General features: G+C 41.7%; 1 protein-coding gene and 1 long non-coding RNA gene across 3 annotated transcripts in view, besides 1 other annotated feature; one reads left to right on the top strand and one right to left on the bottom strand.

Annotated features, from left to right (window-relative positions):
* The window catches only part of TMC1 (transmembrane channel like 1), a 316,690-nt gene that overhangs the window by 260,668 nt on the left and 34,020 nt on the right, over nt 1–22,002 (bottom strand). The window lies entirely within an intron of this gene.
* LOC101927191 (uncharacterized) lies at nt 101–20,008 on the top strand. 2 transcript variants are annotated; one of them, XR_242619.5, is made up of 5 exons: nt 101–212; nt 389–524; nt 8,808–9,021; nt 10,259–10,356; nt 19,805–20,008. It is a non-coding gene; the product is annotated as an uncharacterized LOC101927191 (long non-coding RNA). The 2 variants fall into 2 exon arrangements; XR_007061577.1 differs by lacking the exons at nt 101–212; nt 19,805–20,008 and having other exon boundaries at nt 373–524; nt 10,259–13,162.
* Nucleotides 19,109–20,308: an enhancer, noted in NCBI's record as "P300/CBP strongly-dependent group 1 enhancer chr9:75172238-75173437 (GRCh37/hg19 assembly coordinates)". NCBI's record gives its function as "activates an origin of replication core promoter dependent on BRD2, BRD4, P300/CBP, MED14 and CDK7 cofactors, with strong dependence on P300/CBP, by STARR-seq in HCT116 cells {active_cell/tissue: HCT116}" and the evidence as "EXISTENCE:reporter gene assay evidence [ECO:0000049][PMID:35650434]".

The following is a 22,002-nucleotide window of genomic DNA, read 5'->3' as shown; positions in this document are numbered from 1 at the left end:
GGCATGAAGCTCAATATGCTTTGCCAAAAGCTTCAGCAAGGAAGAATCCCGCTTTTGGCCTAAAGGTTAGCTGATCTCAATCAGGCTGCTACAGAAACTCAGCATTTATTGACAGGGCACACTGTTTTTGATCTGTCTAGAAATGGAGGCATTATGAAGTGCACTTGCCAGTACCTGTGTTAATTGATGAGTCTCTCTTTTACACAATCATAGTAAGTGCCCTGAGAGTTTTTGGCTTCTTGTTCCTTTGCTCCACCCGTCCCTGTGTGCTGAGGCACAACAGTCCACTGGAGTGGGAGTTTCCAAATCAGATGTGTCAGCTTTTCCTAACAACTCGCAGAGTGATTAAAGAATTTTAAAGCAAGTAATTTCACTGTGACTCCCCTAGGTTATGAGCAGCCCAAGAGGAGGAACAATGGTAGCTCCAGAAGTTCTAACAGGAAGAGGAAAGGGTCAGAGATTTTATTAAGAAAAGAATTTTGGAGGAGTAATCAGCGGATTTGACTTGAAACAATAGCTGCAGAGTAAGTACATTATTTATCCTTAAATTGTATGCTGTAGCTTCATTAAAAAAAAATAGCAAACATTTCCGAGAATAATTTCTGTAAGATTGAAAAAAATCCCAGTTGGCCATATTGCAGAATAACACCAAGGCTGGTGAGTAAAGCACGTTCCAGGAGGTAGAAATTGGGAGTCCAGGGCACCGGGCGCGGTGGCTCATGACTGTATTCCCAGCACTTTGGGAAGCCAAGGCGGGTGGATCACGAGGTCAGGAGATCCAGACCACCCTGGCCAACATGGTGAAACCCTGTCTCTACTAAAAATACAAAAAAATTAGCTGGGTGTGGTGGCGCATGCCTGCAATCCCAGATACTCGAGAGGCTGAGCAGGAGAATCGCTTGAAGTTGGGAGGGAGACAGAGACTGCAGTGAGCCGAGATCGTGCCACTGCACTCCAGCCTGGCAACAGAGCAAGACTCCGTCTAAAAAAAAAAAAGAAAAAAAAAAAAAAGAAATTGGGAGTCCAGGGAGGGGCTGGTCAAAACCCATCAAGCCATCCCTTGGCATTGGGCAGGAAATGTAACTGATTCATCTTGACATCCCAGCTCTGTGTACAGTCGTTGGCACAAGAAGGAGCTCCGTAAATGTTTATTGAATCAAAGAGGTGCTGAGCACCTAAAGGAGAGGAGGAAGGGAAGGTTCGAGAAGATAGAGAAGAGAAAAGAGGGTCAGAAAGGAGAAAGGGGAGGGAAGAGAGAGGAGGAGAGAGACAAGAAGGAAGGGAGAAAGAGGAGGGGCTAGAAAAAAGACCATGACACAGTTGGCCCACAAGCTGAGAGTATTTATGGTGCTCTAAGAGGTCAAGTATATTTTTACCCTCTTGGCCAACTAATACAGTTGTTAAATGTCACCATGATCACAGCTCTTGCTCTATAAAACTGGATATATGTTTTCTCACATTAGAGCTGTTTTCTAGAGTTGATTTCCTACAGCTTAGTTTGACATCTTAATGAAGATTCCACCACGAGTATGCCATCTCCTCAAATGGTGCCATCTTTTCAGGCACAGAGGAAACCTGCCTTACTTCTGCAGACATTACCATCAAAAACATTGTCATTGTCCTGGGTCCCCTTCCCCAACGAGTTATTTCTGTACTTCTGAAAACTTGTTTAGCTGATGGGAAAACACATGTGAGCCTAGTTTGTGTGTGTGTGTGTGTGTGAGCCCAGTTTCAACTGGCCCTCTTTCCTGACTCATAGGAACCAATCAGAAACTTGTGTTCTGCAGCTCTGTCATTTCCACTCCAGAGAAGAAAAATGTCACAAGCCCTGGATTGTGAAGTAACAAAGTGAGCAATACAAAATGAGCCAGAGAAAGACCAGATCAAGGACCCAGGGCCACCCCAAAAGCTGCTGTGACCCCATGTCCTTCTCATATGAGGCTTCTTTGTTTCAGTTAGTGTCGCCTTCTGGGCAAGAATGGACCAATGAAAGGCAAACCATCTGTGTGTGTGCTTCTCTCAGATGCCCACAAAACTCCCCATAGTTGTTACCTTCTGGGAAGCTCCGAATGTTGTCATTGTTCCTGATTTTCCTATTCGAGAGATTTGCAAATTTAACGACATGGTATTTAATCTTTAAACCTTATCAGGCCAGGCACAGTGGCTCACACGTGTAATCCCAGCACTTTGGGAGGCCGAGGCGGGCAGATCACCTGAGGTCAGGAGTTCAAGACCAGCCTGGCCAATATGGTGAAACCCCGTCAGTACTAAAAATACAAAAATTAGCCGGGCTTGGTGGTGGGTGCCTGTAGTCCTAGCTACTCGGGAGGCTGAGGCAGGAGAATCACTTGAACCCGGGAGGCAGAGGTTGCAGTGAGCCGAGATCACGCATTGCACTCCAGCCTGGGCAACAGAGCAAGACTCCATCAAAAAACAAACAAACAAAAAAACCTAATTTGCTGTTGTGGAATATCAACACAAATGGGATAATACAAGTACACCCTTTGTACAAGCATCTTATTATTTGTCTCTATATAAGTAGAAAGATGGAGGTGAAAGAGTGGTCAAGGAGGGGCTGGGAGGGAAAGCATGACAAAAAGAAGGACTGGGGCCTCACGACAGTTGGCCACCAGCTCTGGTCACCACACCAAACTCAAGGCACTAAAATCATTCCATAAGAACATGGGGCACTGTACTAGCTCTGGTCCTGACTTTCTAGGAGCCTAAGCTTTATGGTGGAGACAGATGAGTGAACAGTTACAATGAGGGAGCAATTTCAACAATGGGGGTGAAGATGGGGAGATCAGCAGCGTATGTGGGGACTAGTAGGAATGTATGGTCAGAGAATACTTCTCAGAGAAGCTGACTTCTAGAAATTCACCTTGCATGCATCTTACTTCTTATGACCCCCACTGCAGAGCAAGGATGCATGTAAAAAGTGACAAGGAAGTAACCATTATCGACCTTAAGTTAACCTGGCATTCTGTATCAGCCCAGCTTCCTGTGGTTAGCAGGTGGCCTTTTACAATCGCCCTCTGACATTTTCCAGTTGATCCCAAAAGCTAATTCCATATTACCAGGGGAAAGAGTGATGTTAAATGCCTTTTATAAAAAAGGAAGCATTTATTGAAACTGAATCATCAACTTTAATCTGGGTTGCTTTCTGAAATGGGAGCAGTCTCTGCTGCAATATTCAGATATTGGCCTTGCTTTCCTGATAGCACCATATCTGTTTCTGAGCCAAGGGATCAGTCAGGATGGCAACCCATGCTGGAGCAGCCAAGAGCTTGGGCGCCCAATTAAATGGAGGTCACTCATCACACTTCCCTATTTGTGTTCTTTAACCATCTGTACTGGAGGAGACCCTGTTCACAATTCTTTCTGTTCTCTTTTACTAGCCCCAATCCTACCATTTCAAAAATGCTTTGTTTCCAAAGAATATCCATATGGAGCATGGAGCATGGCCACTCTCTAATCAGAATAGCAAAAAGTAAATTAAAAGGAACAAGATCATGGCTTTTGCAGGAACATGGATGGAGCTGGAGGCTATTATCATCAGCAAACTAACGCAGGAACAGAAAATCATATACTGCGTGTTCTCACATATAAGTGGGAGCTAAATTATGAGAACTTATGAACACAAAGAAGAAAACAACAGACTCTGGGGTCTACTTGAGGGTGGAAAGTAGGAGGAGGGAGAGGAGCAGAAAAGATAACTATTGAGTACTGAGCTTAATCCCTGGGTGATGAATCATCCGTACAACAAACCCTCTTGACATGAGTTTACCTATGTAACCAATTTTCACATGTACCCCCTAACCTAAAATAAAAGTTTAAAATAAAAGAAAAAAGACAGTAAAAGGGAGAAGTTCTCAAAAGAAAACATTTGACATAAATGCCACTAAAATATTGCAGTAACAGAAATCCTAATTAAAGGGAGATGAAATGAGTCTGTTTTTCTCCGAGAATGATTTAGAATCATTATAAACCATATAAATGAGAACAAGACCAGCCACTTTTGGCTAAGCCACCCTGTACAGGAATCTATTGCCTGCCCCCTTAATGGTTTAAAGCAAGGTATGTTCTCTTCCAAAGTTTACGCACAGGACTTAACAATTGCCCCTTTTGTCCTTCATTCCAGGTCATCGTGGTAGGTAGAAATGCTGGCACAGCATGCTAATGTCATCATGTACTGTGAGGTCTTTAGTGGGTGGTGGATTTTGAGGCTGTGCATTTATCCTACCGCCTCTTATCCTAGCACCCCTATTTAGAGGAGAACACACTGTCCATCTGCTTATATAGTTCTTTATTCTGAATTAGCCTTCATTTTCCTCAAATTTATGTTAGAACAGGTATGACACTCAAAATTCTGGGTTTGAGGGATAAACGTGAAAAAGATTTCCATAAAGTGAAGTATCTGAGAGAAAGAAGAGTTTGATGGGTTATGACCAGGCACATATCATGTGGTCAAAGTATATGAATAGAAAATGCATAACAGAAAAAAACCAATGGCTCATGCACATCTGGAAAACAAAATTCAACCTCACTAGTTATCAAGGGAAATGCCTCTTTAAACAATAATGAGATAGCATTTCATAACCAACAATATTGACAATTATTTTATTTTATTTTATTTTTGAGACAGAGTCTCACTCTGTCCCCTGTGTTGGAGTGCAATGGTGTGATCTTGGCTTACCACAGCCTCCACCTCCCAGGTTCAAACGATTCTCCTGCCTCAGCCTCCCGAGTATCTGGTATTACAAGCACCCACCACCATGCCCAGTTAATTTTTCTACTTTTAGTAGAGACAGGGTTTCACCATGTTTGGCCAGGCTGGTCTCAAACTCCTGATTTCAGGTGATCCACCTGCCTCAGCCTCCCAAAGTGCTGGGAGATTACAGTCATGAACCACCATGGCCTGGCCAATAATTTTAAATTTAAAAAAGAGTAAGTTTTGACAAGAGTGAAAGGAATCAAGAAAGTGTACAAATTGCTAGTGGCAATGTACACAGGTATTACCCCTTTAGGAAGCCATTTGTCAATGCCTAGCATGGTTGACTATGGGCACCTCCTTTAGTCCCATGTCTATGAATGTCTTTCACATTTATACAAAGAGAGATGTTCAAGGATACTGCCCATAGTACCGTTAACAATATCTAAAAAATAAAGAGAGTTTGGAGGCCAAGGCGGGCAAATTGCTCGAAGCCAGCAGTTCAAGACCAGCCTGGCCAATATGACAAAATACCATCTCTACTAAAATACAAAAATTAACCAGATGTGGTGGTACACCCTATAGTCCTAGCTACTCAGGAGGCCAAGGCAGGAGAATTGCTTGCACCTGGGAGGCAGGGGATGCAGTGAGCCGAGATCACGCCACTGCACTCCAGCCTGGGTGACCAAGTGAGATCCTGGTTTAAAAAAAAAAAAATCAAAAAATAAAGTGAGATAAAGAGACAAATTGTGTATCATAAAATAAATTAAAAAGTAAATAATTGGCCAAGCACAGTGGCTCACACCTGTAATCCCAGCACTTTGGGAGGCCCAGGCGGGCAGATCACCTGAGGTTGGGAGTTCGAGACCAGCTTGACCAACATGGAGAAAGCCCATCTCTACTAAAAATACAAAATTAGCCGAGTGTGGTAGTACATGCCTGTAATCCCAGCTACTCAAGAGGCTGAGGCAGGAGGATCTCTTGAATCCAGGAGGCAGAGGTTGCGGTGAGCCGAGATTACGCCATTGCACTCCAGCCTAAGCAACAAGAGGGAAACTCCATCAAAAAAAAAAAGTAAGCAATCTACACAAAGCAACATGATAAATCTCAAAAATATATTGTTGCTTCTAAAGAAAGCAAATTGCAAAAGGATGTGTACAGTGTGATACTATGAATATAAACATTCAATAGAAATAATAGAATAATAAAAATATTACTATATACGGTATTGCTTATGGATAGATACATTTGTAGACCAGCCTGGCCAACATGGTGAAACCCCATCTTTACTAAAAATACAAAAAATTAGCTGGGCATGGCGGTGTATGCCTGTAATCACAGCCACTCGGGAGGCTGAGGCAGGAGAATCACTTGAACCCAGGAGGTGGAGGTGCAGTGAGCCAAGATTGCACCATTGCACTCCAGCCTGGGCGACAGAGCGAGACTCCACCTCAAAAAAAAAGAAAAAAAAAAAAAGCGTGAGGTTGATTCACACCAGCTTCAGGATACTGCAAACCTCTAGAACACAGAGAGAGAGAGAGAAAGAGAGAAGTAATAGTAATCAGGTAGTTTTCTTACTTTTCTTTTCTTTTTTTTGAGACAGAGTCTTGTTCTGTCACCCAGTCTGGAGTGCAATGGTGCTATCTCAGCTCACTGCAACCTCCGCCTCCCAGGTTCAAGTGATTTTCCTCCCTCAGCCTCCCAAGTAGCTGGGACTACAGGCACCTGCCACCATGCCCGGCTAATTTTTATATTTTTTGTAGAGGCGGGATTTCACCATGTTGGCCAGGCTGGTCTCGAACTCCTGACCTCAAATGATCCGCCTGCCTTGGCCTCCCAATGTGCTGGGATTATAGCCATGAGCCACCATGCCCAGCCATAATTGGGTAGTTTTCTATATCTGAAAAATTATTTACAAAAATGGAGATTTGGTCGGGTGCGGTGGCTCATGCCTGTAATCCCAGCACTTTGGGAGGCCGAGGCAGGTGGATCATTTGAGGTCAGGAGTTCGAGACCAGCCTGGCCAACATGGCAAAACCCCATCTCTACTAAAAATACAAAAATTAGCCAAGCATGGTGGTGAGTACCTGTAATCCCAGCTACTCAGGAGGCTGAGGCAGGAGAATTGCTTGAACCCAAGAGGCAGAGGTTGCAGTAAGCCGAGATCGCACCACTGCACTCCAGCCTGGGTGACAGAGCAAGACTCTGTCTCAAAAAAAAAAAAAAAAAAAAAAAAAAAAAAGGAAATTTGGCAAAGTGTAGATTTCTCTTAAATCTACATGGTAAGTATATGGTGTTAATGTTATTTTCTCTACTTTTCTGCATATTTTGAAGTATTTCAAATTTAAAATATAAGAAATGAATTTAAAAGCAATAATACTAAGATCCCATAAAATATAATGAATGGCCACATAAAAGAATATACTATATACTTCAAAAGATTTGTAATTCTGTAGACCAAACTGTTCATGATGGTGGTCTCTGGAAAAGGTATTTCAGAGTTTTTTTTTCTGGACTTTCTATAATTTGTTTTGTTTGAATATTTGCCATAATTGTGGATTACCTTGGTAATATCAGAACAACCAGCCAAAATGTTGAAAAGGAGTGAAGGAGATAAAGAAAAATCTAAAGAAATTTGTATATAAGTATTTACCACACACACACACACACACACACACACACACACACTACTCTTTGAGCCCCACCCCCTTTCAAAGAGTGGGGCAGAGGGAAAGAAAAAAACTGCAGTTACGTTCTCAGAAGCCAATAACTAACTAAGCCCTAATTTTGCAATTATGCAACACCAGCTGCCATTTCTGAACATTCACAAAGATCTAAAAAAGGGCTCATTATATTCCTCTGAAATCTGCTCCTCATCCTGTATTCTCTGTCAAGATGAATGTTGCCATCAATTCTACCACCTTAATAACTTTGTATCCCCCTCACACACACACCCCACACCCTTATCCCAATGCTACCACCTTAGTTAAGCTATCTTACAGATCGGTTCTTCTTCACGCCTCAGGACTTAACCCTTGGAATCCTTCTAGCAGACAGCACTCAGGGGGATCAGCCAGAACCACAAATGACCACATAAATCCCTTCCTCAATTCATCATCTCTACAAAATGTCAATGCTTCTTATTACTGACAAGATAGAATGCCATCTCTTTAGCCTGGCTTCCCAGGTTGGAGCCCTTCAGGAGCTCCTCCTGCCTACCTCACCATGTTGGCCTCTCTCCATGCACACTGTAGCCCCGTCATCTCCCTGCAGCTACCTGTAGTTTCCTGGGCTTCACTCTGTGCTTTGTTGCTTCCTCTGCCTAAATGCCCTGCCCCATCCACCTGGAGAATAGTTCATTTGGCCAACTAGCTCAGTTTGGCACTTCCTTTATGAAAACTTTCCTGATTCTTATCCATACATATGTCCATTTCGTCACAGAGTCCAGCTTTTTTCACTCCATCCTGTTCTTATTTTATGGATTTAATGATTTCCCAATTCTCTTTCAGTATACCAAATAGAAGCTGTTGGTTTTAATTACAGTCAGCTCTCTGTAGCCGGGTTCTACATTTGTGGATTCCAACCAACCATAGGTTAAAAAGATTCTGGAAAAAAAAAAAGTTGCATCTGTACTGAACATGAACAGACTTTTTTTCCTCTCATTATTCCCTAAACAATACAATATAACAAGTATTTACAAAGCATTTACATTGTATTAGGTATTATAAGTAATCTAAAGATGATTTAAAGTATACAGTAGGATGTGCATAGGCTGTATGCAAATACTGTACCATTTTATATCAGAGACTTGGGCATCCAAATTTTGGTATCTGAGGGAGGTCCTGGAATCAGTCCCCAACAGATACCAAGGGATGACTGTATTTATTGTTTAGTTCACTTCTATATTTCTCAAATTCCTTCCATTTTCACCAAGGGACAACTTGTTTTTCTTGGATTATCTTGTTCATGCTGTTGGTTTTCCAAACACATCTAATAATTCCGTGTCTTACTATTCAATTTAGCTTTTATTTTCTAAAAAATTTTTGGAATGTCTAATCTGCTGATAATGTCCCCTTCTGTTCCCTTTGCTTTATAGATATGTTTAATTTTGAAGATCTACACTTTTATTTCAGAGAAGTATGGAGGGGCACAATGAGTAAATACAAATGTTTGGTCCACTATCTTGGATCAGAAGGCTAGCCGAACATCTTGGATTCCACTGAGCTAATTGACATTGTATAATAATGAAAAAAATAAACAAATTTCTCAAGACTCAAAATATCTAAGAATGTAGGTCAAGAACATTTAAGGTAAGCAATCATGATTTCATAACTATAAAGCTTACAGTGTAAGTTTCTTTGAAGAAGAGCCTATGTTCTCTTCACCTTTGTAGCTGCGGTGCCTAGCCTGGTGCCTCACTCATAGCAAGTCCCCATAAAGAGTTGTTGAATAAATGTAACGTTAACAGAAGAGCCTGAAGCAATCTTTCTGCTTTATTGTGTTCTGATTATATTCATAACTAGAATAGAATTCTAATCTCGTTTCCATTTTAATTGAAAAATGGAGAATTTAGACAGAGCCAAAAGTGTAAGAAACATTTTAGAATAGGGTTTCCTACCTTCGTTGCCTCAAGAAATACATGCTCTCTATAGGTCAAGCTTGTGACTGTCTATAGGGCACAAGGGAGTGTGTTGAAGAGGCAAGTTCAGTTTGGGGGGTTGAGAAGTGGTGGAGAAAGAAGCAGTAAATTTGGGGAAAGGATCTGACTACAAAAGCTAAACCATGTTTATCTGGGGATTCCTGAGTGTCTCTCCTTTTCCACCAGAAATCCTAAAAAAAAAAAAAAATCATTGAGGGCAGCGCCACACCCTCCTCCTTTTCCACACTTCCAGTTAGTCCCAGGCTTTCAGTCCCAAATTCAGTACTCACAGGCCACAAGGATGGAGATTTGGCCCAAGTTTAAATTTAACCTGTGGAATAAAACACCATCTAGGAGTAAGATCTCCCAGAAGATGATAAACAATTTTTAGGGCCTCAGGTTAAAATCTAGATTAATGAACAATGATTCAAAGGTAAAATTATTTGTCTGAGACAAAATAAGACTACATGAGTGCCTTAGCTGTCTTCAGCTGGAAGGCTATTTTGAGGATGGTGCTTAATATGGTTTGGCTCTGTATCCCCACCAAAATTTCACCTTGGATTTTAATTCCCATAATCACCATGTCTAGGGTGGAACCAGGTAGAGGCAATCGGATCATGGGGGGCGGTTTCCCCCGTGCTGTTCTTGTGATAGTGAGTGAGTCTCATGAGATCTGATAGTTTTAGAAGCATCTGGCATTTCTCCTACTTGCACTTATTCTCTCTCCCGCCACCCCGTGAAGAGGTGCCTCTGCCATAATTGTAAGTTTCCTGAGTTCTCCCCAACCATGCAGAACTGTAATCATTTAAACCTCTTTTCTTTATAAATTACCCAGTCTTGGATATTTCTTCATAGTGGCATGAGAATGGACTAATACAGTGTTATATATCCATTTATTCCCTTCACAGAGGGGGAAGATGGGTGTAAATATCTGAGAACATTCTGGGGAAAGGAGTTACAGTGATGAACAAAGAAGACATATTTGAGAAGTGAAGAATACAGACAAGTAAGCAGACAAATACGAGACCGTGATAAACCCTACCATGATCCAATGATCAGGTGCTATGGGAACATAAAGACAGACATATGCTTGGAACGAGGAGTCAGGAAAATGTTCCCAGGGGAAATGACATCTCTGAAACCTAAAGGATTTGAGAGGAACTCATCATGGCTGAGACATCATCTGTGAGGTGGAGAATTGTGAGGCCTGAGGCAGGAGACATAAGCAGAAAAATTATAAAGGAACATCTGCCCCCACACTAGAGAGCTTGAACTTGACCATGAGGGCAAAGAGAAGAGCAACTAAAGGGGTTGAGATTGGGATGCAACAAGGTCTGATTTGCATTTGAGAAAGATCTCTCTTGCTATAATATGTGGAATGTGTTAAGAGATGAAAACAACTGGGCACCTGGTGCTGGGAACTCAGATAGGAGTCTGTGACCATAACCCAGGAAAGCGGGGAGAAGGCCTTAGACTAAAATAGTAGCAGTAGACTAGAGACAAGTGGATAGAATCAATCTGGAGGGCATGTCTGTGGCAGAGTCCACAAGGGTAGGAGGAAGGGCATAAAGCTGTAGGCTAAATGTGCTTTTTTATCGGAGTCTGAGGACCCCAGAATGTTCAGCTGCTCAGAGCAGGGCTTCCTGTGGGCTCCTTCTGTTTGCAGCCTGTTTCACCTTTCACAACGCAGCATTATTTGGTCTCCCCCTTTCCACAAAGGGCCTGTTCTCTGAACCTCTGTGGTCCATTTTCCATCTCCCTCCAACCCCACCTGAAACAGTGGCCTTTCCTCCTCACCTTCCCACCCACCCCAACCCTGTACACTTCCCAAAGCCCAAGATAGTCCCTATGGAGTGACTTCTTGAGGGCTTCTATTGAAAAGGCAGGGATAGCCCTTGACTCTATAGAGTTGACGGCAGATAGTGGATGATGGAGGGAGAGAGGTAATCCAGGAAACTGGTCCTTTTTAAGATTGTAGTGGTTTAGGATGCTAAAGCCAGAGGATCACTTAAGGCCAGGAGTGAGTTCAAGACCAGCCTGAGTAACATAGCAGTACTCCCATCTCCCATCTCCACAACAAACAAACAAAACATTAGTTGGGCATAATGGCACGTGCCTGTAATCCCAGCTACTCAGAAGGGAGGATCACTTGAGCCCAGGAATTAGAGGCTGCAATGAGCTATGGTCATGCCATTGTATTCCAGCCTAGGAGGCAAAGTGAGACCCTGTCTCTTCTCTTTTGTTTATTTTATAGATGGTCCATCAGTCACTAGTGAAAAAATTTATATACGTGCACATGCATACACACAGGCATACTGATACAGTTTGGCTGTGTCCCCACCCAAATCTCATCTTGAATTGTAGCTCCCATAATCCCCATGTGTCTTGAGGGGAGCTGGTGGGAGGTAATTGAATCATGGGGATAAGTTTTTCCCATGCTGTCCTTGTGATAGTGAATAAGTCTCGTGAGATCCGATGGTTTTATAAAGGGCAATTCCCCTGCACACACGCTCTTGCCTGCCACCATGTAAGATGTGCCTTTGCTCCTCCTTCACCTTCCACCATGATTGTGAGGCCTCCACAGCCATGTGGAACGGTGAGTCCGTTAAACCTCTTTTTCTTTATAAATTACCGTCTCGGGCATTTCTTCACATAGCAGTAGGAAAATGGACTAAAACACACACAAAGCTCCAACATACACATACACACACACCCTCCAAAGGACAATTATTAATTCTCAAATATATACAGCCTATAAAATAAGAAAAAATAAACATTTTCCTAACTGCCTCATAATTTGCAAGTCACCTTTCTTACACATAGAGTCAGTGTTTTATTTCCTCCTTCTTCACTTTCAATTTGTGCTTCTTCATTCCTAGCAGGAATAAGAAAGAGCCTACTGCTGAGTTAAAACACCTCTTCATAATTACTTCCAAGGTACCCAATCTCCTATTCAAAACTGTGATACTATTTGTCCTTAAGGCTTGATTAAATTTTTAGTCAATGTTTCTCATCATCCTGTTTCTGCCGAGGGTAAGGAAAAATATTTATTATTTTATTGTTTCAAATGCATCAATATGTTGTGTTCCTCTAGTCAAATAATAGAAAGTGTTTAGTAACAGTACAATATTATGCAAAGGTCTCTGGTTAAAGTAAGACCTTGGCTCAAAAATGCTCACTAACTGCCCAATACTGAGTAAATCACTTCTTTTTCCTAAGTCTTAGTTTCCTCATCAGTACAGGGATGGTTAACATAGGTTGAGTTTCTTTTCCATAATATAATTTATTTTGAGTGCAAAATTACATACGTAAGTAGTTAATATGTAGCAGTTGTTTTAAAACTACTGTATTTAATTTTGGCTAAAATCAGAAATCATTTGAGGTAATCATTAATTTTTGCAAATGAAGCTGCTAAAGCACAGAATGAGGTAAGTTCTGCCCAGTTCCACAAAGTGGCACAGTCAGGAACAAAGGCCAACTTCCTGATTCTTGCTCAGAGTTCTTTCCATTATACCTTCTAGAGAGAGCTGGAGTGTGTGGAAGGGGGAGAAGAGCCTTTCACTATGGAATCTGTGCCCTAAGGACATGTCCCCCACTAAATGTCTAGGCAAATGCCAGTTCTTTTCAATGTCCATGTGGTTTTGTCTTGGATGGAAAAGTTTTTTTCCAGCACCACCTATCCTATTATCTGTTTTGAAAGGGTAATCTGTCAGGCACATCAAACATTAAAAGCAGTGGGAACATTCTGAGGTTTATAGTGTGTATATTTTTCTCACCAATTAAATCTTCACTCCTCAGTTATCAGACAAAAGGGAGAAAAGCTGTTCCCCTCCTCCCCTAAAAAGAGAAAAGCTTTTAAAACACTTGGCAGAATCTACTATTCAAAGTGGAAAAATAAAAGTTTCAAGTAATATTAGATGAATAAGGCAAAAGAACACATGTGTTCAGGATAAAGTTTGTTTGCTCTCAGGATAAAATATTGCTGCTTCATGATTCTAAGCTATTATCATTAGAGCCAGATTGTAGCCAATTTTATCAACATAATTTGATGTTTTCCCTAGGTTACCATAATTAGAAAAATATAGGGGAAGTTTTAAGCAGAACCCACAAAATAACAACAAAAAATGGCATTGGTAAAAATATAATTTGTCTAGATGGCAAAGTAAAGGATTGGTGTGTAAAACTCTTGAAGTTTCTTCTTTCCCCACAAGTGATATGTGTGATTAAAGATATCATCAAGACAGTGATATGATCGCCTAGGAAACAATTCAAGAGTGCCATATGTCCAGGCTGGAATCTCAAACTCAATACATTCCAATAGGAATCCTATATCTCCTCCCCTCCCCCAATTTATACTTTTTTTTTTTTTTTTTTTTTTTTGAGCCAGAGTTTTGCTCCTGTTGTCCAGGCTGGAATGCAATAACTTGATCTCGTTCACTGCAGCCTCCACCTTCGAGGTTCAAGCGATTCTCCTGCCTCAGCCTCCCGAATAGCTGGGATTACAGGCACCCGCCACCATGCCCAGCTAATTTTTTTTATTTTTAGTAGAGATGGGGTTTCACCATGTTGGCCAGGCTGGTCTCGAGCTCCTGGCCTCAGGTGATCCACCCATCTCAGCCTCCCAAAATGGTTGGATTACAGGCATGAGCCACTGCGCCCAGTCAATTTATTCTTGCTACCATTTATTCTTCATCTTAGCAAAAGTGCCATCAGTCATCAAAGATATCAACTCCTTCTTTCCCCTTATCTTCTGCCTTCCTCCCCTCCCAAATGGTCTCTTAAGTCCTCTACAAAAATCCTAGAAATGCCTCTGGCATCCATGGTCACTGTGTTCATTCTGGCTTTCATTGTCTCTTGCATTATTGGCAGTTGAGTTTAATGAATTGGCCCCTTGGAGTCTGCTCTTATCAATCTCCAACCCATGCTTCTTATGAAGCCAAATTACCATAGTGAAATGTAAAGCTGATGATGGTTGAACAATTTCTGGGGCTCCCTATTGCCTAAATATGGCAAAATTTTTCATCTGGTCTGGAAGACCTTTCTCAATCTGATCTCAATCTACTTCCTAATCTTCCTGCATCTCCATCCACCACCAAAACCACACAACTCAAACTTTGGCCACCCCCAGAGTACTTGCTATTCTCCCCTCAAAAACATTATTCTTTTTGTACCTCCACACCTTTGCTCATGCTGTACTCTATGTTTGTAAATCTTATATTTGAATTGGCTAACTAGTAACTTTCTTCTTAATCTGAAAGACAGTTCAAATGCCACATCTCTGTCCAATTTTCTTTATTTTTTATTTTATTTTATTTGAGACGGAGTCTTGTTCTGTTACCCAGTGATCTCATCTCACTGCAACCTCCACCACCTGAGTTCAAGCAATTCTCCTGCCTCAGCCTCCCAAGTAGCTGGGGTTACAGGCGTCTGCCGCCACACCCAGCTAATTTAAATTTTCTTTAATAATCCCCAACTTAGTTAGATCTTCCTCTGTATTTTCATACTATAGCTAATTAACTGTTATTATACCAATTATACCATTTCGCTATGATTTTTCTTACTTGGAAACTCCTTTCTAAATTTTTAAAAAAAATTTAATTGACAAATAATAATTGTATATATGTATGGGATAACTAGGGAACTCTGAGAGATGAGGTTATATCTTCCTTGTATCCCCAGTTTCCAATACAATGTCTGACACAATAGGGATTCAAATGCTTGTGAATCAAACTAAATTGTCTTACTTTCTCCTAGTGATAATAAACATGAATTATTTTCATGTATAATCTTTTCACTTAGACTTCCAGCCATCAGAAAAACAGATTAGTTCTCAAACAATATAACATAGCACAAAGGTGTACTGCTAAATATGTAAAAATGTAAATTACATAAATTACATGAGAGCACTGTTTTCATATCTGTCAAGCAGGAGGTTGAACAGATCATATAACTGAGCATAGGATGTTTTACGTACAAAGGAACTTGAAAAGAATGAGATAATGTAAAGCCAGTGACCCTCAAAAAAATTGTGTTTTTTAAATCAGAACCTGCAAGACCCTTGACTTAGAGCATATATTTATGAGTATATTAGTCAGGGCAGGAAGTATTCCTACTTACTGAGTTAATATTACAGGCAACCAAGTGGACAGAATGGTAACTACGTATGTTTAAAGCACTGTGAGATGTTATTAGACAGTAGTAAAGATCATGTTGTAATTACTGTTGACTTGTTTGGGCCCTTGTGTTAAAATTTTAATTTTTTTTTTTTTTTAGAGATAGGATCTTGTTCTGTTGCCCAGGCTAGAGTGCAGTGGCAGGATCATAGCTGACTGTATCTTCAAACTCCTGAGCTCAAGCGATCCTCCCGCCTCAGCTTCCCAAGTAGTGCGGATTACAGGCTTGAGCCACTGCACCCCGCTCCGGTTTGGGGCCTAGAAGAAGAAACATCTCCAACTCTGTGACCCAAATTTTCAGTATTCAAACGTGTGCCTAAAATGTAGAGAAGCAGTTGAGGCAGAATTGTGGAATAGAAATAGAACAGCCTGGATTTAAATCCCAGTTCTGAACTCACTACCTCTGCTGACCTTTGGCAAGAGACCTTACCCTTGAGGATCCTCAGACCAACTTGCTCTAAGATGGGACAGAATCTACTTCACAAGGCTGTGAGACTTAAGCTGAAAACAGTGCCTGGCTTGGAGCAAGCCCTTACTAAATGGTGTCTACTGTTGTTTGTGGACATTGTTAATGTATTTATTACTATGGCTTATAGTGAGACCAAAGCGCCAACTTTGGTCAGCCTTCCACATCACTGCTATAAACTTCTAAAATTAACAGTTTAACTTGCATAGTTTTGGTTCCTACACTTCTGTGAACATCCACTATATGGATCAGAGAAGAATAATAGAAATCTAAATGAAGCTGAGTTATTTTCTCTCTCTCTTTTTTTTTTTTTTTTTTTTTTTGAGACGGAGTCTCGCTCTGCCGCCCAGGCTGGAGTGCAGTGGCACGATCTCGGCTCACTGCAAGCTGTGCCTCCCGGGTTCACGCCATTCTGCCTCACCCTCCAGAGTAGCTGGGACTACAGGTGCCCACCACCACGCCCGGCTAATTTTTTGCATTTTTAGTAGAGATGGGGTTTCACCGTGTTAGCCAGGATGGTCTCAATCTCCTGATCTCCTGACCTCATGATCTGCCCACCTCAGCCTCCCAAAGTGCTGGGATTACAGGCATGGGCCACCGCGCCCGGCCTTTTCTCTCTTTAATTGTCCAAAAACATACTCCTGCTCTTGCCATTGTGTTGTATAGAATGGGAAATAGTCACATGCTGGGAAAATAAAATCTAAGTATCTCTAGCTAATAGGTACCCCTACAGAAATCTGATGTCATCAGAAAAATAAAATAATTATAATGAAGTTTGCTTGGGTGGTAAAATGAAGTTTAGTTGAGGAAATGTGAAACTTGCAAAACCTGATTAAGCAGACAGATAGAGAAAATGAGGCCGGGCGCGGTGGCTCATGCCTGTAATCCCAGCACTTTGGGAGGCGGAGGCGGGCGGATCAAGAGACCATCCTGGCTAACACGGTAAAACCCCGTCTCTACTAAAAATACAAAAAGTTAGCCAGGCATGGTGGCATGCACCTGTAGTCCCAGCTATTTAGGAGGCTGAGGCAGGGGAATTACTTGAACCCGGGAGGCAGAGGTTGCAGTGAGCTGAGATCGCGTCATTGCACTCCAGTCTGGGTGACAGAAAGAGACTTGGCCTCAAAAAAAAGAAAAAGAAAAGGAAAATGACAACAACTCCATCACAGACACATACAAATTGAGAGTAAATTATGGCAAAGTTCAGGTGGATGAGGCAAATTCAGGACATATAAAGATACAGGAGGGGATTAACCTGTATCTGATCAAAATTAGATAAGGTGATAGCCAGAGGTGTTTATACTGTACATGCATGTGGAATTTCGTGGTACATCCAGACATTGCTTCAGCAATCAGATACCTGTGTAATCTGGCTCTTGGGAAGTAAATAACAATAGCTACAACTCATGACATAATTGTTTTTATCTAATCATCAGAGATTGACAGTTGCACAAGGCAGGTTTTAACACTTCCCTGTTGGGGATATTGGGATAATGAGTGTTTTCAACAATGTTCTGAGCTGCTGAAAGCTACAAGCAAACATAGGGGTGATATGTCATGGTTATCAGACGCAACTATTATTCATTTTCCTTGTAATCAAGGAGATATCAGGCCCAGAGGCTCCTTCTAACATACCTATTTAAGAATGAGTTGATATTTCTCAGCCAAATGAAAGCTTTCAATTGTTCCAAAATAACAGTTTCCTCCTAAATACATTGAGGTCTGGTTGTGCACCAAGTGTCAGTGACTTTCTACTTGCTAAATCCATCTGAACACTTCTTAATATCCAAAGCATTGGACATGGTTGTTGACCTTCTTTCTTTAGCCATTTTTTTGTCATCATTTCTGTGTTTCTATTCAGATGGCACGATCATGGTGAGTGGTTTGTCTCCATTTTCGAAAATTTAACCACTCTTTTTTTTGTGACCACCATGATACCACGTTTTTCTGGATTTTATTACTTGCTTTGCAGATTCTTTCTCTACACATCCGATAAGTTTGTTCCTTTTCTAGGCCCTGCTCTTTTCTTTCTGAATTCTCTCTTCCTGAGCAGTGCCATTTATTACTCCATTGCTACAGCTCCGATGAGAAACACTGAGTGCTGTAGGAACTCAGAATATGACCTGGTCGTTACAGAAGGTATCAGGAAATAGGTGACACTAGAGTTTGTTTCCTAAAGATTATGGGCATCGGTGGGGGCCTACAAAGTTTCTGGTATGAGTTATTTTTGTGAAAAATTCTATCTCTTGCCAGGCACAGTGGCTCACGCCTGTAATCCCAGCACTTTGGGAAGCCAAGGCGGGTGGATCATGAGGTCAGGAGTCTGAGACCAACCTGGCCAACATGGTGAAAACCCATCTGTACTAAAAATACAAAAAATTAGTGAGGCCTGGTGGAGCACTCCTGTAATCCCAGCTACTCAGGAGGCTGAGGCAGGAGAATCACTTGAACCCAGGAGGCGGAGGTTGCAGTGAGCCAAGATTGCGCCATTGCACTCCAGCCTGGGCGACGAAGCAAGACTCCATCTCAAAAAAAAAAAAAAGAAAAATCTTCCAGGCTCATTTCTTACCTCAAAATGTGTTCATTTGAGTTCAATATGGTATCAGAGAAGTTGTATGACTTCATTTGTCCTTCAATCTTTCAAACAATTCTTATAAGGCAGAATAGGCTCTTCTATTTGGAAAGAAAAGTATGTTTTTAATTGCATTTCTTATAACAAAAAAAAATGGTTGAAAAAGGGAATTACACAACTTTTTGAAAATAAAAATTTTAACTGTATAAGCACAATTTTCCAGAGTAGTACCAGAAAAGTTGGCTTGGGAGGGGTATGAATTGTGATAGATTCCTCAAAGGATACAGGGGTTGCTGCATCCGACTCTGCAATTTTATTGTACATTTTTATATTTGTAAAGTGCTTTAAAATAACTCCTGACAAGCATGTAAAAGCATGTAAACCAGATAACCATTATCATCCCGATTTTTCAAAAGATGAAATAGAAACAGAGATCAGTGAAGGTGTCTGCCCTCTTCAAGTAGAAAATGGCAAGTGGTAACAGATTAGAAATCACTGAGCCTGAAATTCTATTATGCTGCATGAGCTGAAGTCCAGATCTACCCCTTGGATGAGTGCTTCTCAGCACTTCCCAAATTTGAACAAGGCAGTGCACAATTGTGAGAGTTCATCCAGATAATTCAGGTCAGAATTTCCCTGTGACCCTGGAATCTCAAAAACAATGTAATTGAAATTATTTAACAAACTCATTACTCTATGCTTAGCTACTGAGCTGGGCCACCAAGATGCTAGTGTCCCATGGGAAAGGGAAGAGATTTAACTCACATTTGGTTGGGCTGAGGTAAAGTAAGGAGAGTGATTGGGAATTTTGTTTATGTAAAAGTGTTGCATTTTAATTTAATTTTTAATAGATTTTCCCATGTCTTCATTTATGGAGACAGAAAGAGAGAGAGAGAGAGAAAGAGAGAAAGAGAGAGAGAGAGAGAAATGTTCACCAAATACACAGGCAAATTAGAAATATTTCCTATGTCTTCAATTTGGACAATTATCTTCACTGAAGAAGCATTTTTATTTTATTCCTGGCTGCCCTTACAGTGCCAGGGAAGCCTCTTTCTGTGAATATACTCTGATATCTCACTTATTAAAATAATTGACTCCCAGGAACAATTTCTCATGGTCTGAAGCCTTCCACACTGACCCAGCTGTGGAGGCCACAGAATAAAAGACATCCACTTGGGCTCCAGGTATTGCTCAATGACAATACAAATCAATGAGAAACTAAACAGCTGTTTTTCCTCTTTAGCCTCCCTCACACCAAAACACCGGAAGACTTGAGTGAGCAGATCAATGCCACAGGCAAATGACTCAGTGAAAATCTTGAATGTTTGCTAAGATCTCCTGCAGCATCCCAGGTCAAAGAGGCTGACTCAGAGGGCCCTACTCCCACTGCTGTCCCTGACACACATTGGAGAGGCCTTGAGACATGCTGCCTCTGAAGTCGGTATCATGTGACTCACAACCTAGATCTGGGGGACATGGCTTTAGTGGTGGTGGTGTTTGCCTTTCAGTTCTTAAGAATTTTTTTTTAACAGTTGTTGTCATTTCTTTGTTTAATGATTGTAAAATAAGTGCTCAATATTAAACATTTGGAAAGAACAGAAAGTTTTTTAGAACAGTAGAGAAACAATTATCATAATCCCATCCAGAAGTAATCACTGTAAACATTTGAGTCATTTCTGTTTTTTTGTTTGTTTGTTTTTTTGAGAGTCTCACTCTGTCACCCAGGCTGGAGTGCAGTGGCATGATCTTAGCTCACTGCAATCTTTGCCCCCCGGGTTCAAGCGATTCTCCTGCCTTGGCCTTCTGAATAGCTGGGATTACAGGTGTGGGCCACCACGCCCGGCTATTGTTTGTATTTTTAGTAGAGAAGAGGTTTCACCATGTTGGCCAGGCTGGTCTCAAGCTACTGGCCTCAGGTGATCCACTCGCCTCAGCCTCCCAAAGTGCTGGGATGATAGGCATGAGCCAAGCCACCTGTCCTGTCATTTCTTTTAGACCAGCGTTTCTCAACCTCAAAAAACAATTGACATTTTGGACTGTTTAATGCTGTCAGGGGCTGTCCTGTGCACTGCAGGATGTTCAGCAGCATCCCTGGCCTCTACGTATTAGATGCCAATAGCACTTCACTCCCCAACCCCAGATGTGACAACCAAAAATGTCCCCAGCCATTGTCAAATGTCCCCTTGGAGGTGAAATTGCCCTGCTCAAGAACCAATTTTTTTGTTTGTTTGTTTGTTTGTTTGTTTCCAAGACAGAGTCTCGCTCTATCTCCCAGGCTAGAGTGCAGTGGCGGGATCTGGCTCACTGCAACCTCCGCCTCCCAGGTTCAAGTGATTCTCCTGCTTCGGCCTCCCGAGTAGCTGGGATTACAGGCACGCACCACCATACCTGGCTAATTTTTTTTGTATTTTCAGTAGAAATGGGGTTTCACGATGTTGGCCATGCTGGTTTCAAACTCCTGATCTCAAGTGATCCACCCGTCTCGGCCTCCCAAAGTGCTGGGATTACAGGCATGAGCCACTATGTCCGTCTGAGAACCAATGTTTTAGAGAGTATGCTTTTGGCAAGCAGGAGTGTCTACTTTAGATTTATGTGTGGAAATTTGTGAGACGTTCCTAAGGAGTAAAAGTTGAAGCTTTAATTTCACAAGTAAGCCAGGCACAGTGACTCACGCCTGTAATCCCAGCACTTTGGGCAGCCGAGGAAGGTGGATCACCTGAGGTCAGGAGTTCAAGACCAGCCTGGCCAACACGGTGAAACCCCATCTCTACTAAAAATACAAAAATTATCTGGGTGTGATGGCAGGTTCCTGTAATCCCAGCTACTCAGGAGGCTGAGGCAGGAGAATCCCTTGAACCCAGAAGGCGAAGGTTGCAGTGAGCTGAGATCGCACCATTGTACTCCAGTCTGGCTAACCAAAGCGAAACTCCGTCTCAAAAAAAAAAAAAAATTCACGGGTGAAAAGGCTAACAGAAAGGTGTTTTGCAGAAGGTCACCAAGTGGATTAGGGATTAGGCCTGCCTAGCTTCTGATTTACTGATATTTCCACTCTTCTCTGTGCAACTTTTTTTTTTTTTTTTTTTTTTTTTTTTTTTGCCTTAGTCATAGATTGGTTTTCCTGGGTAACATCATTTAAGAGTTAAGTCCAGGCCAGGTGCAGTGGCTCATGCCTCTAATCCCAGCACTTTGGGTGGTCAAGGTGGGTGGATCACAAGGTCAGGAGTTTGAGACCAGCCTGGGGAATATGGTGAAACCCCATCTCTACTAAAAATACAAAAAAATTAGCCAGGCGTGGCAGCACATGCCTGTAATCCCAGCTACTCGGGAGGCTGAGGCAGGAGAATTGCTTGAATCTGGGAGGCAGAGGTTGCAGTGAGCCAAGATTGCGCCACTGCACTCCAGCATGGGTGACAGAGCAAGACTCCGTCTCAAAAAAAAAGA

Source organism: Homo sapiens, chromosome 9, assembly GCF_000001405.40.
Source record: "Homo sapiens chromosome 9, GRCh38.p14 Primary Assembly".
Lineage (NCBI taxonomy): Eukaryota > Metazoa > Chordata > Mammalia > Primates > Hominidae > Homo > Homo sapiens.
Note: the sequence above shows the minus strand (reverse complement) of the source record. Positions and strands in the feature narration are given on the sequence as shown.